We start from the raw sequence: 16,439 nt of genomic DNA on the forward strand, positions 1-16,439 counted from the left end.
CAACACTATTAATTGAGCCTCTACTACGTGCTCGACATTGTTCTAGTCACTGAGATAGGTTTGGTATACAAAACAAAATCCATCCTCTATGGACATTTTAGTGACTAACAACAATATAAATAATAAAAGTGAACAAAAGCTCAAAACATGCCAGGCACTATTATTTATTTATTTATTTATTTATTTATTTATTTTTTGAAACAGAGTCTCGCTCTGTTGCCCAGGCTGGAGTGTAGTGGTGCGATCTCGGCTCACTGCAAGCTCCGCCTCCCGGGTTCACACCATTCTCCTGCCTCAGCTTCCCGAGCAGCTGGGATTACAGGTGTGCACCACCGTGCCTGGCTAATTTTTTTTGTATTTTTAGTAGAGACAGGGTTTCGCCATGTTAGCCAGGATGGTCTCGATCTCCTGACCTCGTGATCCACCTGCCTCGGCCTCCCAAAGTGCTGGGATTACCGGCGTGAGCCACCGCCCCCGGCTCCAGGCACTATTTTGAGTATATATTTATTCATTTAATCCTCAAAGCACCCGCATGAAGTAGTAGCATTGTTATTCCCATTTCATGGATGAGGAAGTAAAGGCATTGAATGGTGGAGGCAGAATTCAAACCCAGAGCCCATGTGGTGACCATGATGCTCCCCTACTCCACGAGAATAAGAAAGTAGCCAAAAGTCCAGTCAACCAGGGAACAAGGGCACGTCTGGAGAGTGGTGAATACTGGGCAGGGGGAGTGGGGAGCTGGTGGTTTTGGAAGATTAATCTGGAAATGTGTGGAGTTGATGGGAGGACAGGTAGCTGGAGGGATATGGGGCCTCACTCGGGAGGAGAAAAAGAGTGAAGACAGAGAAGAATCAGTATAGGGCTTGGAACATTTCTCAGGTCATATCTTAACAGGAATTAGTGAACTTGGCAGAAATCATTTCCTCCCTGGTCAAAGTGGACTGATTACCAGTTCACCATGGGTTAGGCTTTTTGTTTTTATTCACTGAAATTCATGAGGAGTGAGAGGGCCTTTCTGGGGCTCACAGGCTCAGCCAGATGATGTGATGATGCTTTGCATAGTGCTCAGGCCTTCTGTCCAGATTCCCTCAGCCGATCCCCAAACTTGGTGTTTAGATGAGTTGTACACCCACTCCCATCCGCCACTCTAACCCACACCTGTCCCCTCTTCCCTTCTCTTCATGGCAGGGCCCTTCACATTTCTTTTTTCTTTGAGATGGAGTCTCACTCTGTCACCCAGGCTGGAGCGCAGTGGTACAATCTCGGTTCACTGCAACCTCCGCCTCCTGGTTTCAAGTGATTCTCCTGCCTCAGCCTCCCAAGTGGCTGGGATTACAGGTGCACCACCACACCTGGCTAATTTTGTATTTTTGGTGGACACAGGGTTTCATCACGTTGGCCAGGCTGGTCTCGAACTCCTGACCTCAAGTGATCTGCCTGCCTTGGCTTCCGAAGGTGCTGGGATTACAGGCGTGAGCCACTGTGCCTGGCCCACATTTCTTTTTGAGAAATTCCGACACCAGCCCCTTGGTGGCCAGTCTGCAGACCCCTTGCATGGCCAGAGCCACACTTTTACACAGGTGACACCACTGCTCTTGTCTCCCTGTCTGCCCATCACTGCCACACCTGATCCAGACTCCCACAAGCACAAGCCAGACCTCTGTTCCAGCCTCTTCCAGTTTTCCTCCATGTTTCCTGAATGGATATAGGATCTCACCGTGCCTTAGGTAAGAGTAGCCAACTTTATTTTTTGGCTGCTGTCAGTTCAGCCTCTTAGAGTGCCCCTCCCCACACCTTCACACATACCATTGGGCACATGGCTTTGCCAAGCCTCCTTTTCACTGTGCACTGCCTTGGGGGGAAAGGCCTTGTCCCCTGGAAGCCCAGAAGGGCCTGGACCCTCAGGCACCTTGTGACCCTACCCACCAGGGTCCATTCTTCCCCAGAGTACCCCCTGCCCTACCCTCTCCCTCCCACCCTAGCTCTGCTCTGTCCCTCAAAATTCAACTCCAACTTCAGGCACATACCTCCCTCCGGGCCAAGGCAGGGACAAGGGGTTAGGTGCTCCCATGAGCTGGGAACGATGTCAAGAGCTGATTTCAAGATTGCTCTTCAAGAACTTCCTCAGCCTGGCTGACATAGGCCTTGAGGGCTGGGAATTCCCACCTGGGAATCTTTCCAATATTCTGCCAGCTGTTTCTTCTCTTTCAGTGGTTTTATTATTTTTTTCTTTCTGTTCCACCGCCTCCTTTCGCTTTCAGTATGGGAGCTCAGGCAGAATGGTGGAGGAGGGTGGGGACCTGGCATTTGCTGAGTTAGGAGCTGTGGCCAAGGCCAGCTATGCCAAGGGAGAGGACAGGATACAGGAGGAAACAGGGCTGGGCACAGTGGCTCATGCCTGTAATCTCAGCACTTTGGGAGGCCGAGGCGGGTGGATCACCTGAGGTCGGGAGTTTGAGACCAGCCTGACCAACATGGAGAAACCCCGTCTCTACTAAAAGTACAAAATTAGGCCGGGCATGGTGGCTCACGCCTGTAATCCCAGCACTTTGGGAGGCCAAGGCGGGCAGATCACCAGGTCAGGAGTTCAAGACCAGCCTGGCCAACATAGTGAAACCCCGTCTCTACTGAAAATACAGAAATTAGCTGGGCATGGTGGCACGTGCCTATAGTCTCAGCTACTTGGGAGGCTGAGGCAGGAGAATCACTTGAATGCAGGAGGTGGAGGTTGCAGTGAGCTGAGATGGCACCACTGTACTCCAGCTTGGGCAACAGAGTGAGACTTTGTCTCAAAAAAAGAAAACAGCAACAACAACAACAACAACAACAACAAAATTAGCCAGACATGGTGGTGCATGCCTGTAATCCCAGCTACTCGGGAGGCTGAGGCAGGAGAATCACTTGAACCTAGGAGGTAGAGGCTGCAGTGAGCCAAGATCGCACCACTGCACTCCAGCCTGGGCAACAGAGTGAGACTTCATCTCAAAAAACAAAACAAAACAACAACAAAGAAACAAGCAAAGAAAAAACCAAAATTAGCCAGGTGTGGTGGTGCATGCCTGTAATCCCAGCTACTCTGGAGGCTGAGGCAGGAGAATCACTTGAACCCGGGAGATGAAGGTTGCAGTGAGCCAAGGTCACGCCACTGCACTCCAGCCTGGGCGACAGAGTGAGACTTTGTCTCCAAAAAAAAAAAAAAAAAAAAAAGGAGGAAACAGGAGTGGAACAGAGGAAGTGAGACCAGCACCAGGGCGGCCTCTTGTTTTTCTGGGGATTTTTACGTCATTCAGCTCTGGGCATAAGGCCTTATTTCCAGAAGGGCCCTGTCAAAAATACACATCTATTACTCGGGAGGGTGAATTCTGGGCATAAGGCCTTGTTTCCAGAAAGGCCCTGTCAAAAATACACATCTATTACTTGGGAGGGTGACACATTAACCCAGTAACTCCAATTCACATATCAGATGCGCTATCTGTTGCCTACGAGCAGAGACCAAAGAGAAGGGCACAGGGAACAGCTACATTTCGAGGGAGCGTGTGGAAAGGGTTGGGGGCGTGGAGTACTTGCTTGGAGTGGTACCACAGAGCTCTGAGCGGCTAGAGGACAGTGAGGAGGTAACAGACACCTGGGGATTTGGGCCAAAAGTATGAACCCCTGCCTAGGAAGCCTTTTTTTTCACTGCATCATAAGGCTCCAAGAGGGAGTAGGGTCTCTTGGTGAGATCATCTCCTTGGTGTGATATTGGCACCATAGCACCTGACCATGACACTGGGTCTCCAAGGTGGGTGAGTCCCTTGGACAACTTCCTGGTGAGACAGCCACTGGTCTCCAGCATCAGATAAAGATTGAATTCAGCCACATATAACAGAAAAGGCAAGTCAGTCACTTAAACCAGAGAAAGTTTGATTTTTCTTTTACATAAAATAATTATGGAGGCAGACAAAACTAAGACTTATGCCAGGGTGTGGTGGCTCACACCTGTAATCCTGGCATTTGGGGAGGCCAAGGAGGGAGGATCGCTTGAGCCCAGGAGTTTGAGACCAGTCTGGGCAACAAAGCGACACCCATATCTACAAAAAGTAAAAACAAAAAATTAGCTAAGGCCTGGTCACATGCACTTGTAATCCCAGCTACTCCAGAGGCGGAGGTGGGAGGAAGTCTTAAGCCCACGAGGTCAAGGCTCCGGTGAGTGGAGATCCCGCCACAGCACTCCGGCCTGGGCAACAGAGCAAGACCTTGTCTCAAAAAACAAAACAAGTCAAACTCAGTGGCTCACGCCTGTAATCCTAGTACTTTGGGACGCCGAGGCAGGTGGATCACGAGGTCAGGAGTTCAAGACCAACCTGGCCAACATGGGGAAACCCCATCTCTACTAAAAATAAAAAATTAGCCAGGCACGGTGGCAGGCGCCTGTAATCCCAGCTACTTGGACGGCTGAGGCAGGAGAATTGCTTGAACCCAGGCAGCAGAGGTTGCAGTGAACCGAGATAGATCCACTGCACTTCAGCCTAGGTGATAGAGTGAGACTCCATCTCAAACAAAACAAGCAATTCAACAACCAAAACCAAAACAAAAACAAAAACCAAGACTTAAAGGAGCAGAGACAATCCTGGACCATTCACCTTTTTGACTCCACTTCCAGGCATTTTTTGCAAGCAGGTGGCTGGCTCCGGGTGGAGCTTGATAAATGCACCTTCCCTGGGCTTCCTTTCCTCCCAGTCTTACTTCCCCACATTACCACTTGTGCTTCCTGGGCTTACCTCCAAAATCCTTGTCTTGGGGTCAGCCTCTGGAGGATCCCAAACCAAGATGCTTATATTATTGAGCACTTACTGTGTCCCAGGCGCCTTGCAGGCAGGCATTGTCTCAGTTTTTCCTCAAACCTGTGTGGTGGGATGCCATGAAGTCCCATTTTAGGGATGAGGCTAAAAAGTCACCCATCACTAGAGCCAAGACTCAAACCAGGCTGATCATTTTGGTTGTTTGTTTGTATGTTTGTTTTTGGAGGCAGGGTATCACTCTGTTGCCCAGGCTAGAGGGCAGTGGCACCATCTCAGCTCACTGCAACCTCCGCCTTCCAGGTTCAAGTGATTCTCGTGCCTCAGCCTCCCAAGTAGCCACCACACCTGGCTAATTTTTTAATTTTTAGTAGAGACCGGGTTTCACCATGTTGGCCAGGCTGGTCTCGAACTCCTGACCTCAGGTGATCTGCCTGCCTCGGCCTCCCAAAGTGTTGGGATTACAGGCGTGAGCCGCCGTGCCCGGCAGACTGATCATTTTGTGATATCTCCTTAGAGCAGATTCCTAGACCTGGATCCCTGGGTCATAGCATGCACATTTCCAGGCTTTTGACCTGTTCTGCCAAACTGCCCCTGAATTAAGTCAAACCCACTTGTCCCCCTGTCCCCACTGGCAGTGTGGGGGCCCCTCACTTCTCATGTCCTTACAGCCAAGGGCTCTCAGCTCTTTCCAACTCAGGCCCTGTGAGGACATTCCTCTGGAATACCTCTTTTAAAAAATACAGAGCATTAATATTAACTAGCTGTATACTAGCAGACGTGCAATATGTGTCTGCAAGTTGAACTGAAAGGGTGTGAAACCAAGTGGACGAGCTCCTGACCTGAGAAGAACAGTTGTCTCCTTGCTGCCCTCCTGGCTTGGCTGGGGGGTGCAGCTACTGCCCATCTTCCCTCCCTGGAGCCAGGTGGACGGAGGGGCATGGGTGGGCAGATGGAAAGGGAGATGAAGGGTCGCAGGGATGGCAACTGTGTGGTGCGGGCCTGTGGAGGGAATCTTTGATTGGACAGCTTTGATCCCTTCCGCCACATTCCCTTTCCTGGCAGAAATACGGCTGGGGTGGGGGGTGGGCTGGGAGTGTGACAACGCCCCCATCTCTTCCCCTTAGATGTCTGAAGAGCCAACCTGCCACTCCTGCATTCCAGGCATGTCAAGTTGGCATTCCAAATGCTAGGGGTGGCAGGGAGGCATGTGAGCAGCTGGAGGGGGGGCATCGGAACCCGCTTCACAAGCATGTGCAACTGCTACTTCAGTGTCTCTAGAGAGCAGAGAACCCTACACGATGTCTGCAGGACGGGGCTGTTCCCGCCTCACCCCTGTCTTATCAAACCCCCTTACTGGGCTTTCCAGCTTTCCAAACACTTTCTTTTTTTTGAGACGGGGTCTCGCTGTCGCCCAGGCTGGAGTGCAGTGGCACGATCTCGGCTCACTGCAGGCTCCGCCCCCCGGGGTTCAGCCATTCTCCTGCCTCAGCTTCCCAAGTAGCTGGGACTACAGGCGCCTGCCACCTTGCTCGGCTAATTTTTTGTATTTTTAGTAGAGATGGGGTTTCACTGTGTTAGCCAGGGTGGTCTCAATCTCCTGACCTCGTGATCCGCGCGCCTTGGCCTCCCAAAGTGCTGGGATTACAGGCGTGAGCCACCGCGCCCGGCCGCTTTCCAAACACTTTCACATCTGGGAACGGCTTTGATCCTTTCACAGCCTGTGAGGAGGGCTGAGCCACAGGATATTATTATCCCATTTTACAGATGAGGAAGCTGAGGCTCTGATTAAAACGATAGTTCAAAGTCACATGCTATAACTCAAGACTTCTGCAGCCTCTCCTACTAATAATCACATCATGGTGAAAACACATTCCCTGAACGTGATTACACGCTGGGCACCGTATGAGGCTCTTTGTCCAAGTTATGCCCTTCAGTCCTCCCAAAACCCTCCCGGGTGGAGAGTCAACTGCATCTGACAGAGCTGGGATTTGAACCTGGGCTGTTGGACTCCATACCCAGGTGATCTCAAAGTATAGTCCCCAGACCGGGAACATCAGCTGGGAACTTTTGAGAAATGCACATTCTCAGGCCCCACCCTAGACCTGCTAAGAAACTTGGGGCGAGGCTGTACAGCCCCTGGTTTAATATGCCCTCCGGCTGATTCTGATACACTCTCAAATTTGAGAATTGCCATCCAAATACATTCTTTAGTTAGGTGGATTTCAATCTTTTTTTTTTTTTTTGAGATGGAGTCTCGTTCTGTCACCAGGCTGGAGTGCAGTGGCGAAATCTCAGCTCACTGCAACCTCTGCCTCCCGGGTTCAAGTGATTCTCCTGCCTCAGCCTCCCGAGTAGCTGGAACTACAGACGCCTACCACCACACCAGGCTAATTTTTGTATTTTTAGTAGAGACAGGGTTTCAACATGTTGGCCAGGATGGTCTTGATCTGTTGACCTCGTGATCCGCCTGCCTTGGCTTCCCAAAGTGCTGGGATTACAGGCGTGAGCCACCATGCCTGGCCGTTTTTCAATCTTGGGTTTTTTTTTTTTTTTTTGAGACAGTCTCACTCTCACCCAGGCTGGAGTGCAGTGGCGCAATCTAGGCTCACTGCAACCTCTGCCTCCCAGGTTCAAGTGATTCTCCTGCCTCAGCCTCCCAAATAGCTGGGATTACAGGCGCCCACCATCACACCCAATTAATTTTTGTATTTTCAGTAGAGACAGGGTTTCACCATGTTGGCCAGCCTGGTCTCGAACGTCTGACCTCAGGCGATCCACCCCCCTTGGCCTCCCAAAGTGCTAGGATTACAGGCGCAGGCCACCGCGCCCGGCCAAATTTCAATCTTGACTACACAGTGGAATCACCTGGGGAGCTTTAGTGACATAATGACCAGTGCTGTCCAGGACGAGAATCTCTGGGGTGAGGCCCAGGCAGCAGTATTTTTAGAAGCTCTCCAGATGAATGTAATGAGCATGTCACTCCATTGACATGCACTCAGGACAATAACCACTGAAGGCTCCCTGTTTGACCAGAATGTTCTAGAGGAGCAGAATGGGACAGCCTGATTCATTTGGCTATTCCTCAGTCCTGGTGGGAATGAGAGAAGACTTGGAGTCCAGAAAGGAGAGACTCTGAGGCCCTTCTTCTTCTTCTTCTTCTTTTTTTTTTTTTTTGAGACAGAGTCTCGCTCTGTTTCCCAGGCTGGAGTGCAATGGTGTGATCATGGCTCACTACAGCCTTGACCTCCTGGGGCTCAAGTGATCCTCCTGTCTCAGCCTCCTGAGTAGCTGGGACTAAAGGCACATGCCACTACGCCTGGCTAGTTTTTTTATTTTGTAGATATGGGGGATCTTGCTTTATTTCCCAGTTTGGTCTTGAACTCCTGGGCTCGAGTGGTCCTCCCGCTTCAGCCTCCTAAAGTGATAGGGTTACAGGCATGAGCCACTGCACTTGGCCTTAGCCCCTACTTCTTGAGAGGCCTCCGTGAGGGACCAGGAAGCCTGCAGCCGTGATGAGGCCCAGAGACCGTGGCCGTTTGTTTTGGCATTTGCCCAGCAGGCAGTTCTGTGTGGAGCTGTGGCTCTTTTGTTTGTGTGGTTTAACTGTTGGCCCAGTTTTTCCAGTGCTGATTAGATATCCCTGTGAGCAGCACATCCATTTCTAGTCCACAGGATTCCTGAAAAAGGGGCCGAAACCGTTGTTTCTCTTAGCCATGAGGCAAGTCAGAGGTACAGGGGGCCTGGCTCCTGCCTCTGTAACACTCCGAACCTCGAGTTTGAGGATTCAGTGAGTCTATCAGTCAGGGTCCAGTCAGGATACACAAACCACACCAGTGTTTTGTTTGTTTGTTTGTTTGTTTGCTTGTTTTTGAGACAAGATCTTGCTCTGTTGCCCAGGCTGGAGTGCAGTGGCACAATCTGGGCTCACTGCAGCCTCAACTTCCTGGGCTCAAGCCATCCTCCCACCTCTGCCTCCCAAGTAGCTGGGACCACAGGCATGCGCCTGCGAACATGATTACATGCCGGGCACCGTAAGAGGCTAATTTTTGTTTTTCTTGTAGAGACGGCGTTTCACCATGTTGCCCAGGCTGGTCTCAAACTCCTGGGCTCAAGGGATCGGCCTGCCTTGGCCTCCCAAAGTGCTGGGATTATAGGCGTAAGCCACCGTGCCCCGGCCTACACCAGTTATTTTAACAGTGAGAATCTAACATGCAGAATTGTTAATTAGGTACTGAAAAACTGAAAAGGCAAAAAGAGAACGCTGAAGCATTATGGAAGTCACAACCACAAGAAGGAGCCAGGGCTTCCCTCGGGCTGGAGGAACAAAGGGAAACAGTGAGAACTGTTGTGCACATGTACCCTAGAACTTAAAGTATTAAAAAAAAAAACAACAAAACTTAGAAGCTTGCGGGAGTGCCCGTGGTGCTGAAGCTCAGTCTTTGGGGATGGGTTGCCTACTGGTGGTGCTGGTGTCTCTGAGGGGGAGCCAGGGGGCTGGTTCTGTGAGTACTGGAAAAAACACAAACCAGAATCAACTGCTGCTCCTTGAGTGAATTGCTGCTGTCAGATGGAAAAAAACGTTTCTAGGGTAGCGGCATGTCGGGGCAGTTGGGTTTCCGGTTAATTCCTCCCTGTTCTTAGGGTCTATCCCTCTTCACCTGCAGGCTCACACTCCCCTCTCAGTATTCTTTTTTCCAGGAACAACCCCATACTTTGCTGGCTCAATCAATAATGTGCTTTGCTGAACACCTATTAGGCTGCACCCGCCCTGGGGTCTGGGTGCCACAGATATAGATATGGTAACAGCATCCACATTCATTGGCAAACGTAGTGCCCGACCCTGCTCTAAGCATGTCATATGCATTAATACATTAACTATTACCCTCATTTTACAGATGGGGAGCCTGAGGCACAGAGACGTTTAGCAGCTTGCCCAAGGCTATTCTTTAGCTAGTAATTGGCAGAGCCTGACTATGAACCCAGGCAGAGTGGCTCCACGACCTACATTCTTCATGAAGCCCCCTCACTGCCTCAAGTCCTGGAAAGGCAGAACTGTACACAGCTGACCACAGCACAGGGTGGAGAATGCCACCGGGAATGGGTGGGAGGCCTCACAGAAGTGGTAGTTCATTCATGCATTCATTCAATAAGTCTTTTTTAGTTTTTTGAGACGGAGTCTCATTCTGTTGCCCAGGCTGGAGTGCAGTGCTGCGATCATGGCTCACTGCAACCTCCGCCTCCCAAGTTCAAGCAACTCTCCTTCCTCAGCCTCCCTAGTAGCTGGGATTACAGGCGCCCACCACCACGCCTGGCTAATTTTTTTATTTTTAGTGGAGTCAGGGTTTCACTATGTTGGCCAGGCTGGTCTCAAACTCCTGGCCTCAGGTGGTCCGCCTGCCTCGGCCTTGGATGGCGGGGGGCTGGGGGCATCTTTCACCCCAAGTACGCAGGTCTGGGACTATAGGCATGAGCCCCCATGCCCGGCTTCATTCAATAGGTCTTTAGACTGGGGTGTGATGGTCAACAAAAGCAGACATTCTGCCTGCTCTCAGGAAGTTCCTAGTGGAGACACAGATATTACTCAAATTTTCATATCCAAAAAAAGCAAGCTCCAACCAACAGGTTCTTGCTGTGAAAATTGTAATCACGGGAGTTTGTTGTAAACATAGGAATGAGAGAGCCTGCTTCCCGAAGGAAGTAATGATTGCACTGGGACAGGAAAGATGAGTGGGAGTTAATTCAATGGAGAGAAGAAGGAAAAGAGATCTGGTCAGAGGGCACAGCATGTGCAAAGGCCCTGGGGTGAGGGTCGGGGTCATGGTAAGTGTGAGGACTGCTAGTCCTGCTCCTGAACTCTGGCCAGCCCTCCCTGGCATGCAGCCCACCCATCAAGACTCCCACCACTCCGGTTTGGAGCCGTCTAGCCAGCCCTTCCTGCATCATGCTGGAGGCCAGCCATCACCTTCTAATTGGGTCCCAGCCTCCCACAGCTCCAAGGAACAGGGCGGGCTCAGGGGACTCTTGAGGGAGGCCTGAAAAAGCCCCAAAGCTGAAAGCTGCTCTGGGGACCAATGGGGGCAGTCCTGTGGGAGAGAAAGTGGGGTAAGTTCCCAGTGAGTCTTTGGAGAGTAACTGAGTGCACCATGTAAATGAAGCCTCGAGGGAGAGGGGGGCTTGAATAGTCACCCCACCCCACCACGAGGGCTCTGACTAGGAGACTTGCAGTACTGAAGCCACACGAATTAACTCCCACTCCTTGACTGCTTGGGAGGGCAATGATGAACGCAGGCCAAGGACGAGGCTGGAGAAGAACATTGCTGTTTGGGGCAGCTTCTCAGCCTGACCCTTTCAGGAGGCCGCTGGGCGTTTGGAGAATGAGGTTCTGAGGAGTCTCACCGTGTCTTTGTGTGGGATCCAGAGAGCTTTTGGGATCAGTGGACAAGATAGTAGACTCCTAATGGCTCAAAGAGGGGAGAGGCAGAGAGCAGAAGGAAGAAAGGGAACCGCCTCTTCATTGGTTCCCCATGCCTCCTCTCTGCCCTGTTTACAGAAAACAAAGTGCCTTTGGTTGACTCTGGACCGATTCCCCCAAAGCAATTAGAGCAACCACTGTCAGTGCTCCAGGAAGAACAGCTTCCCCCTCCCCCATCACGCCCCCTCCCTCCAGGCAGCAGCTGAAGGCCCAACTGGGGGCCCCATGTTGTGTCTGTTGGGATCTGCATGCCTGGCCTGTCCCCAAGCCCCCTCCTCCACTCCAGCTAGCACTGAAAGGGTGCCCCATAGCTATTCAAGTTTCCGTGGGCTCAATCTAATCAAGCATTGAGGACTATGTCATCCTCATTACTCTCCCTGGGAGCATCTGATTAGGAGGAACATCACTGAATGGGCCCCTCTGAGTCCCAATGGGAAATGGGAAGGCCAGGCTTCCCCTCCCTGCCTGACCCCCCATGCCTGAGGTAGGCCTTTCAGCAGAACCACCCGACCAGAGGCTCCGAATAAAGATGATTTGGATTCCCTGAGCCTCCTTTCCAGGGCAAGGGTGAGGGTGTGTGCACAAATCCCTGTTGTGCCCTGTTGGGTTGGGGGGCCTGCAGGATGTCACCACCCATCTGCCATGCTGATTAGGTCCTGGGGCTATTAGACAGGAGAACCGCTGTGGAGTCGGATGACATGACCCAGGGGCCAGGGGCTCAGGCAGGGACTCAGCGCCTGACAGAGGAGGTGACCCCCACTGATTTGTTTGGGTCCCCTTACCCCCTCAGCACCCGCAGCACCACTCACCACCATCTCTTCTACCAGCCTCATGTACCGCTTGGGTGGTGGGGGGCTGGGGGCATCTTTCACCCCAAGTGGGCAGGTCTGGGAGTGTGTTGGAGCCAGCTCACATAGGCTTGCAAGAGCAGATGGTTAAATATTCAGGAATTTAGTGAGCTGGTTGTTAAACACAGCCATCATTAAAATTAAATTAAATTATATGGACAGGGTTTCTCAACCTTTTGTTCATCATTGCCTCCTGAGAAGACTTTCAAGACATTTTTCTCCTCCAATCTCCTACCATCACTGTCCCATAAAATTTTAATATCACAGATACTGTATATCTGCTTAAGTACTGGAGAGATATCTGTGCTTTATACACAAAAGGATTAAGTTTCTTGGTTTTTTTTTTTTTTTTTTTTTTTTTTTTTGAGACAGAGTCTCACTCTGTTGCCCAGGCTGGAGTGCAGTGGTGTGATCACGGCTCACTGCAACCTCCTCCTCCCAGGTTCAGGTGATCCTCCCACCTCAACCTCCAGAGTAGCCGAGACTACAGGCGCGTACCACCATGCCTGGCTGATTTTTGTATTTTTTTGGTAGAGGCAGGGTTCCATTATGTTACCCAGGCTGGTCTCAAACTCCTGGGCTCCAACGATTTGCCCTCCTCAGACTCCCAAAGTGTTGGGATTACAGGTGTGAGCCACTGCACCCAGCAAGACTTTTTGTTTTGTTTCCCCATCAAGAATCAGTTTTTGCCCCTATTGAGAATGCATGCTACAAACTCAGAATTAAATAAATTATATTCAAAACAAAGGTAACATATACTCACAGCACAGCACTTCCTAGTTGTTTTGCTGCACTTTACTATTATTGATTCTTTTGGGGTCATGGATATACCTGTTCTCCCCTGGAGAGCTGGTTGTGCAACATTTACCAACACACCACTGAGCGGGTCTTTTGGTGAAATAATAGGCAGCATGAGAGGCGACTGATTTTAGTCAAAGAAAGATGGGTTTGTCTAGCAAAAACCTCACTCAAAGAAACATGGGAGGACCTGGAGAATTCCAGTGGATGCAGGGAAGAAAGGAAGAGGAGCCGGAAGAGAGAAAGGACCCTCTGATGCTGACTCCATATGGGCAGAAGGGTGTCTCTCTGTGGAAAGTTAAAAATAGCGGGAAAAATATACCATGCCCCCATGTGCTAGGAGTGTTTGTAACTAGCAATTGCTTGTTTCTTCCTCAGGTACACACCTTATACACCTTTAAAGGTCAGGGGCATAAGACTGAGACCCACTGCCCCATTTCCTCCCACGGTCTCATGTCTAGAGGGTCCTATGGATACCCAGAGATCTTCATTCTGAACGGCACGCTAGGCCAGATGGGGAACACGGAGGAATGAATGGCACTGCCTGGCCTTGAGAAGAGGGAGAAGACAAGCCTTCACATGAGATAAACATGTGAGTACTGCATCACTTCCTCCTCTCCAGGCCTCAGACCCCCGGCCCAGCACCCCAATGACATGGGAGGAGTTCTCAGTGGGCCCTTTCAGCTCCCACCATCCCAGCCTGGAAAGCTCTCCTCTTCCTTCTATCTGGACAAAGCTATGAGGACCGGCCTAGGCACCTCCTCCTGCCACTCCTCCGGCCTCACTCATCTCCTATCTGCACAGCAGGATGGCCTTTTATTTTCTTTGAATTTTTTTTCATTTGGGGAAATCACAGGGGTCAGCACATCCAGAGTGCAATGGATAAGCCTCGCCCTGGGAAAACCACCTTCGTGATCATAGTATCTCCCCTGCCAGGTAAGTATAGGATGGCCTTTTAAAACTCAGCCCACCTGCTTCAACCACAGCAAGGCGACATGTGAGGGGCAAAGTGTGAACCCAAATGCTGCGACATTCTTTCTCAGCTGGCAGACCACTGGCCATTACCAGCTGCTCCCAACACTAGCCTCCTCTTTTTTTTTTTGAGACAGAGTTTCGCTCTGTCACCCAGGGTGGAGTGCAGTGGCGTACTCTTGGCTCACTGCAACCTCCGCCTCCTGGGTTCCAGCAATTCTCCTGCCTCAGCCTCCCAAGTAGCTGGGACTATAGTCGTGCACCACCGTGCCTGACTAATTTTTGTATTTTTAGACCAAGCTGGTCTCGAACTCCTGACCTCAGATGATCCACCCGCCTTGGCCTCCCAAAGTGCTAGGATTACAGGCATGAACCACCAGGCCCGGCCCTCCTCATTTTTTTTTTTTCTTTTTTTATTTGAAACGGAGTTTCGCTCTTGTTGCCCAGGCTGGAGTGGAGTGGTGCGATCTCAGCCCACTGCAACCTCCGCCTCCCGGGTTCAAGTGATTTTTGTGCCTCAGCCTCCCTAGTAGCTGGGACTACAGGCATGCACCACCATGCCCAACTAATTTTTTTTTTTTTTTTTGTATTTTTAGTACAGATGGAGTTTCACCATGTTGGCCAGGTTGGTCTCGAACTCCTGGTCTCAGGTGATCCGCCCACGTCAGCCTCCCAAAGTGTGGAATTACAGGCATGAGCCACTGCGTCCAGTTTCCTTTTTTTTCTGTTTGTTTGTTTCTTTTTTTCTTTTTTTTTTTTTTTGAGATGGAGTCTCGCTTTGTCGCCAGGATGGAGCGCAGTGGCGTGATCTTGGCCCACTGCAACTTTTGCCTCCTGGGTTCAAGCAATTATCCTGCCTCAGCCTCCCGAATAGGTGGGACTACAGGCGCCCACCACCACGCACAGCTAATTTTTGTATTTTTAGTAGAAACGGGGTTTCACCATGTTGGCCAGGATTGTCTCGATCTCTTGACCTGGTGATCCACCCGCCTTGGCCTCCCAAAGTGCTGGGATTACAGGCCTGAGCCACTCACTGCGCCTGGCCTTTTTGTTTTCTTTATTTTCCAAAACCGTTATCTTAGACTCCTCATCTTTAAAATAGGAGTAAGGCTGGGTGTGGTGGTTCACACTAGTAATCCTAGCACTTTGGGAGGCCGAGGCAGGCAGACCGCCTGAGGTCAGGAGTTCAAGACAAGCCTGGCTAACATGGTGAAAACCTGTCTCTACTAAAAATACAAAAATTACCTGGGTGTGGTGGTGGGCACCTGTAATCCCAGCTACTCGGGAGGCTGAGGCAAGAGAATTGCTTGAACCTGGGAGGCAGATGTTGCAGCGAGCCGAGACCGCACCATTGCACTCCAGCCTGGGCAACAGAGCGGAACTCTGTCTCAAGAAACCCCCCCCACCCCCAAAAAAGGAATAAGGCCTGCAGCACCCAGGCTAGGGTGAAAACACATGAGCTAATGTACTGCACACATAGTAGGACACTAAACTGTGTCCCCCAAATTCATATGTTGAAGTCTTAACTCCCAGTACGTTTGAATGTGACTATTTGGAGATAGTACCTTTAAAGAGGTAATTAAGTAAAATGAGGCCATTAGGGTGGGTCCTAATCCAATATGGCTGGTGTCTTTATAAGAAAAGGAAGTGTGGACATGGAAGGAGACCCCAGGGGTGCACGTGCACAGAGGGATGACCGTGTGAGGAGGCAGTAGGAGGACAGCCGTCTGCAAGCAGGGACAGAAGCCTCAGGAGAAACCAACCTTGCTGGCACCTCGGTCTTAGATGCCCAGATTCCAGAACTGTTAGAAAATAAATTTCTATTGTTGAAACCACCCAGCCTGTGGTATTTTGCAATGACAGTCCTGGCAAAATAATACAGTCCTTCAGAGGCACCTATTCTTTCTGCCTTTAATTTGCTTTGGCTTTGTTTTATGTGTGGCCTTGTTTCATTTGCTTGTAAATGACTTGAGGGCGACATCCAGGAAGGAGTATCTTTTCCTGTGTCCCCACAGGGTGCAGTTCAATGCCAGGCACAAAGTGCACAGAATCAGACCTTTGTCCTCACTGCCAGCTTTGTCGACCTGCTGACAAGGGTCAGGGGGACCCAAGCTGCTATCCACCCAGGGTGCTTTTCAAAATTCAAGTCATGGAAATAATTTAGGGAGCCACTTGAGTACTTTTTGGAAATAATGAGACAGAAGAGCAGATAATAGAAAATGCCAGCGTGTTTCTCAGGCAGTAAAAGTGTTACTTCATGCAACTTTGTTTGATTTTACATATTTATAAATAAACAGAATAATTACAAATTATCCTAAGAGCTATGATTATGTTTGTGTGTCCGATTACTGCATTGTGGTGTTAAATACATTTCTTAAAAAAAAAAATAGAGACAGGGTCTCGCTATGTTGCCCAGGCTGGTCTTGAACTCCTGGGCTCCGGTGATCCTCCTGCCTCAGCCTCCCAAAGTGCTGGGATTACAGGGGAGAGCCACTGCACCTGGCCTAAATGCATTTCTTACTGTGAGTTTCAGCCCAAAAATTTTGAAAACACTGACCTACCAGTGTT

General features: G+C 50.4%; 1 long non-coding RNA gene and 1 pseudogene across 1 annotated transcript, besides 1 other annotated feature; one reads left to right on the forward strand and one right to left on the reverse strand.

Moving 5' to 3' along the window:
• Positions 7,629-7,829: a silencer, noted in NCBI's record as "peak5787 fragment used in MPRA reporter construct". NCBI's record gives its function as "represses an SCP1 promoter by STARR-seq MPRAs in K562 erythroleukemia cells {active_cell/tissue: K562}" and the evidence as "EXISTENCE:reporter gene assay evidence [ECO:0000049][PMID:32103011]".
• LOC105375038 (uncharacterized) lies at positions 12,860-16,183 on the forward strand. The gene is made up of 2 exons (XR_926759.3): positions 12,860-13,835; positions 15,511-16,183. It is a non-coding gene; the product is annotated as an uncharacterized LOC105375038 (long non-coding RNA).
• RNU1-88P (RNA, U1 small nuclear 88, pseudogene) lies at positions 13,738-13,843 on the reverse strand (annotated as a pseudogene).
• Positions 16,184-16,439: the final 256 nt, after the last annotated feature.

Source organism: Homo sapiens, chromosome 6, assembly GCF_000001405.40.
Source record: "Homo sapiens chromosome 6, GRCh38.p14 Primary Assembly".
Taxonomy (NCBI): domain Eukaryota; kingdom Metazoa; phylum Chordata; class Mammalia; order Primates; family Hominidae; genus Homo; species Homo sapiens.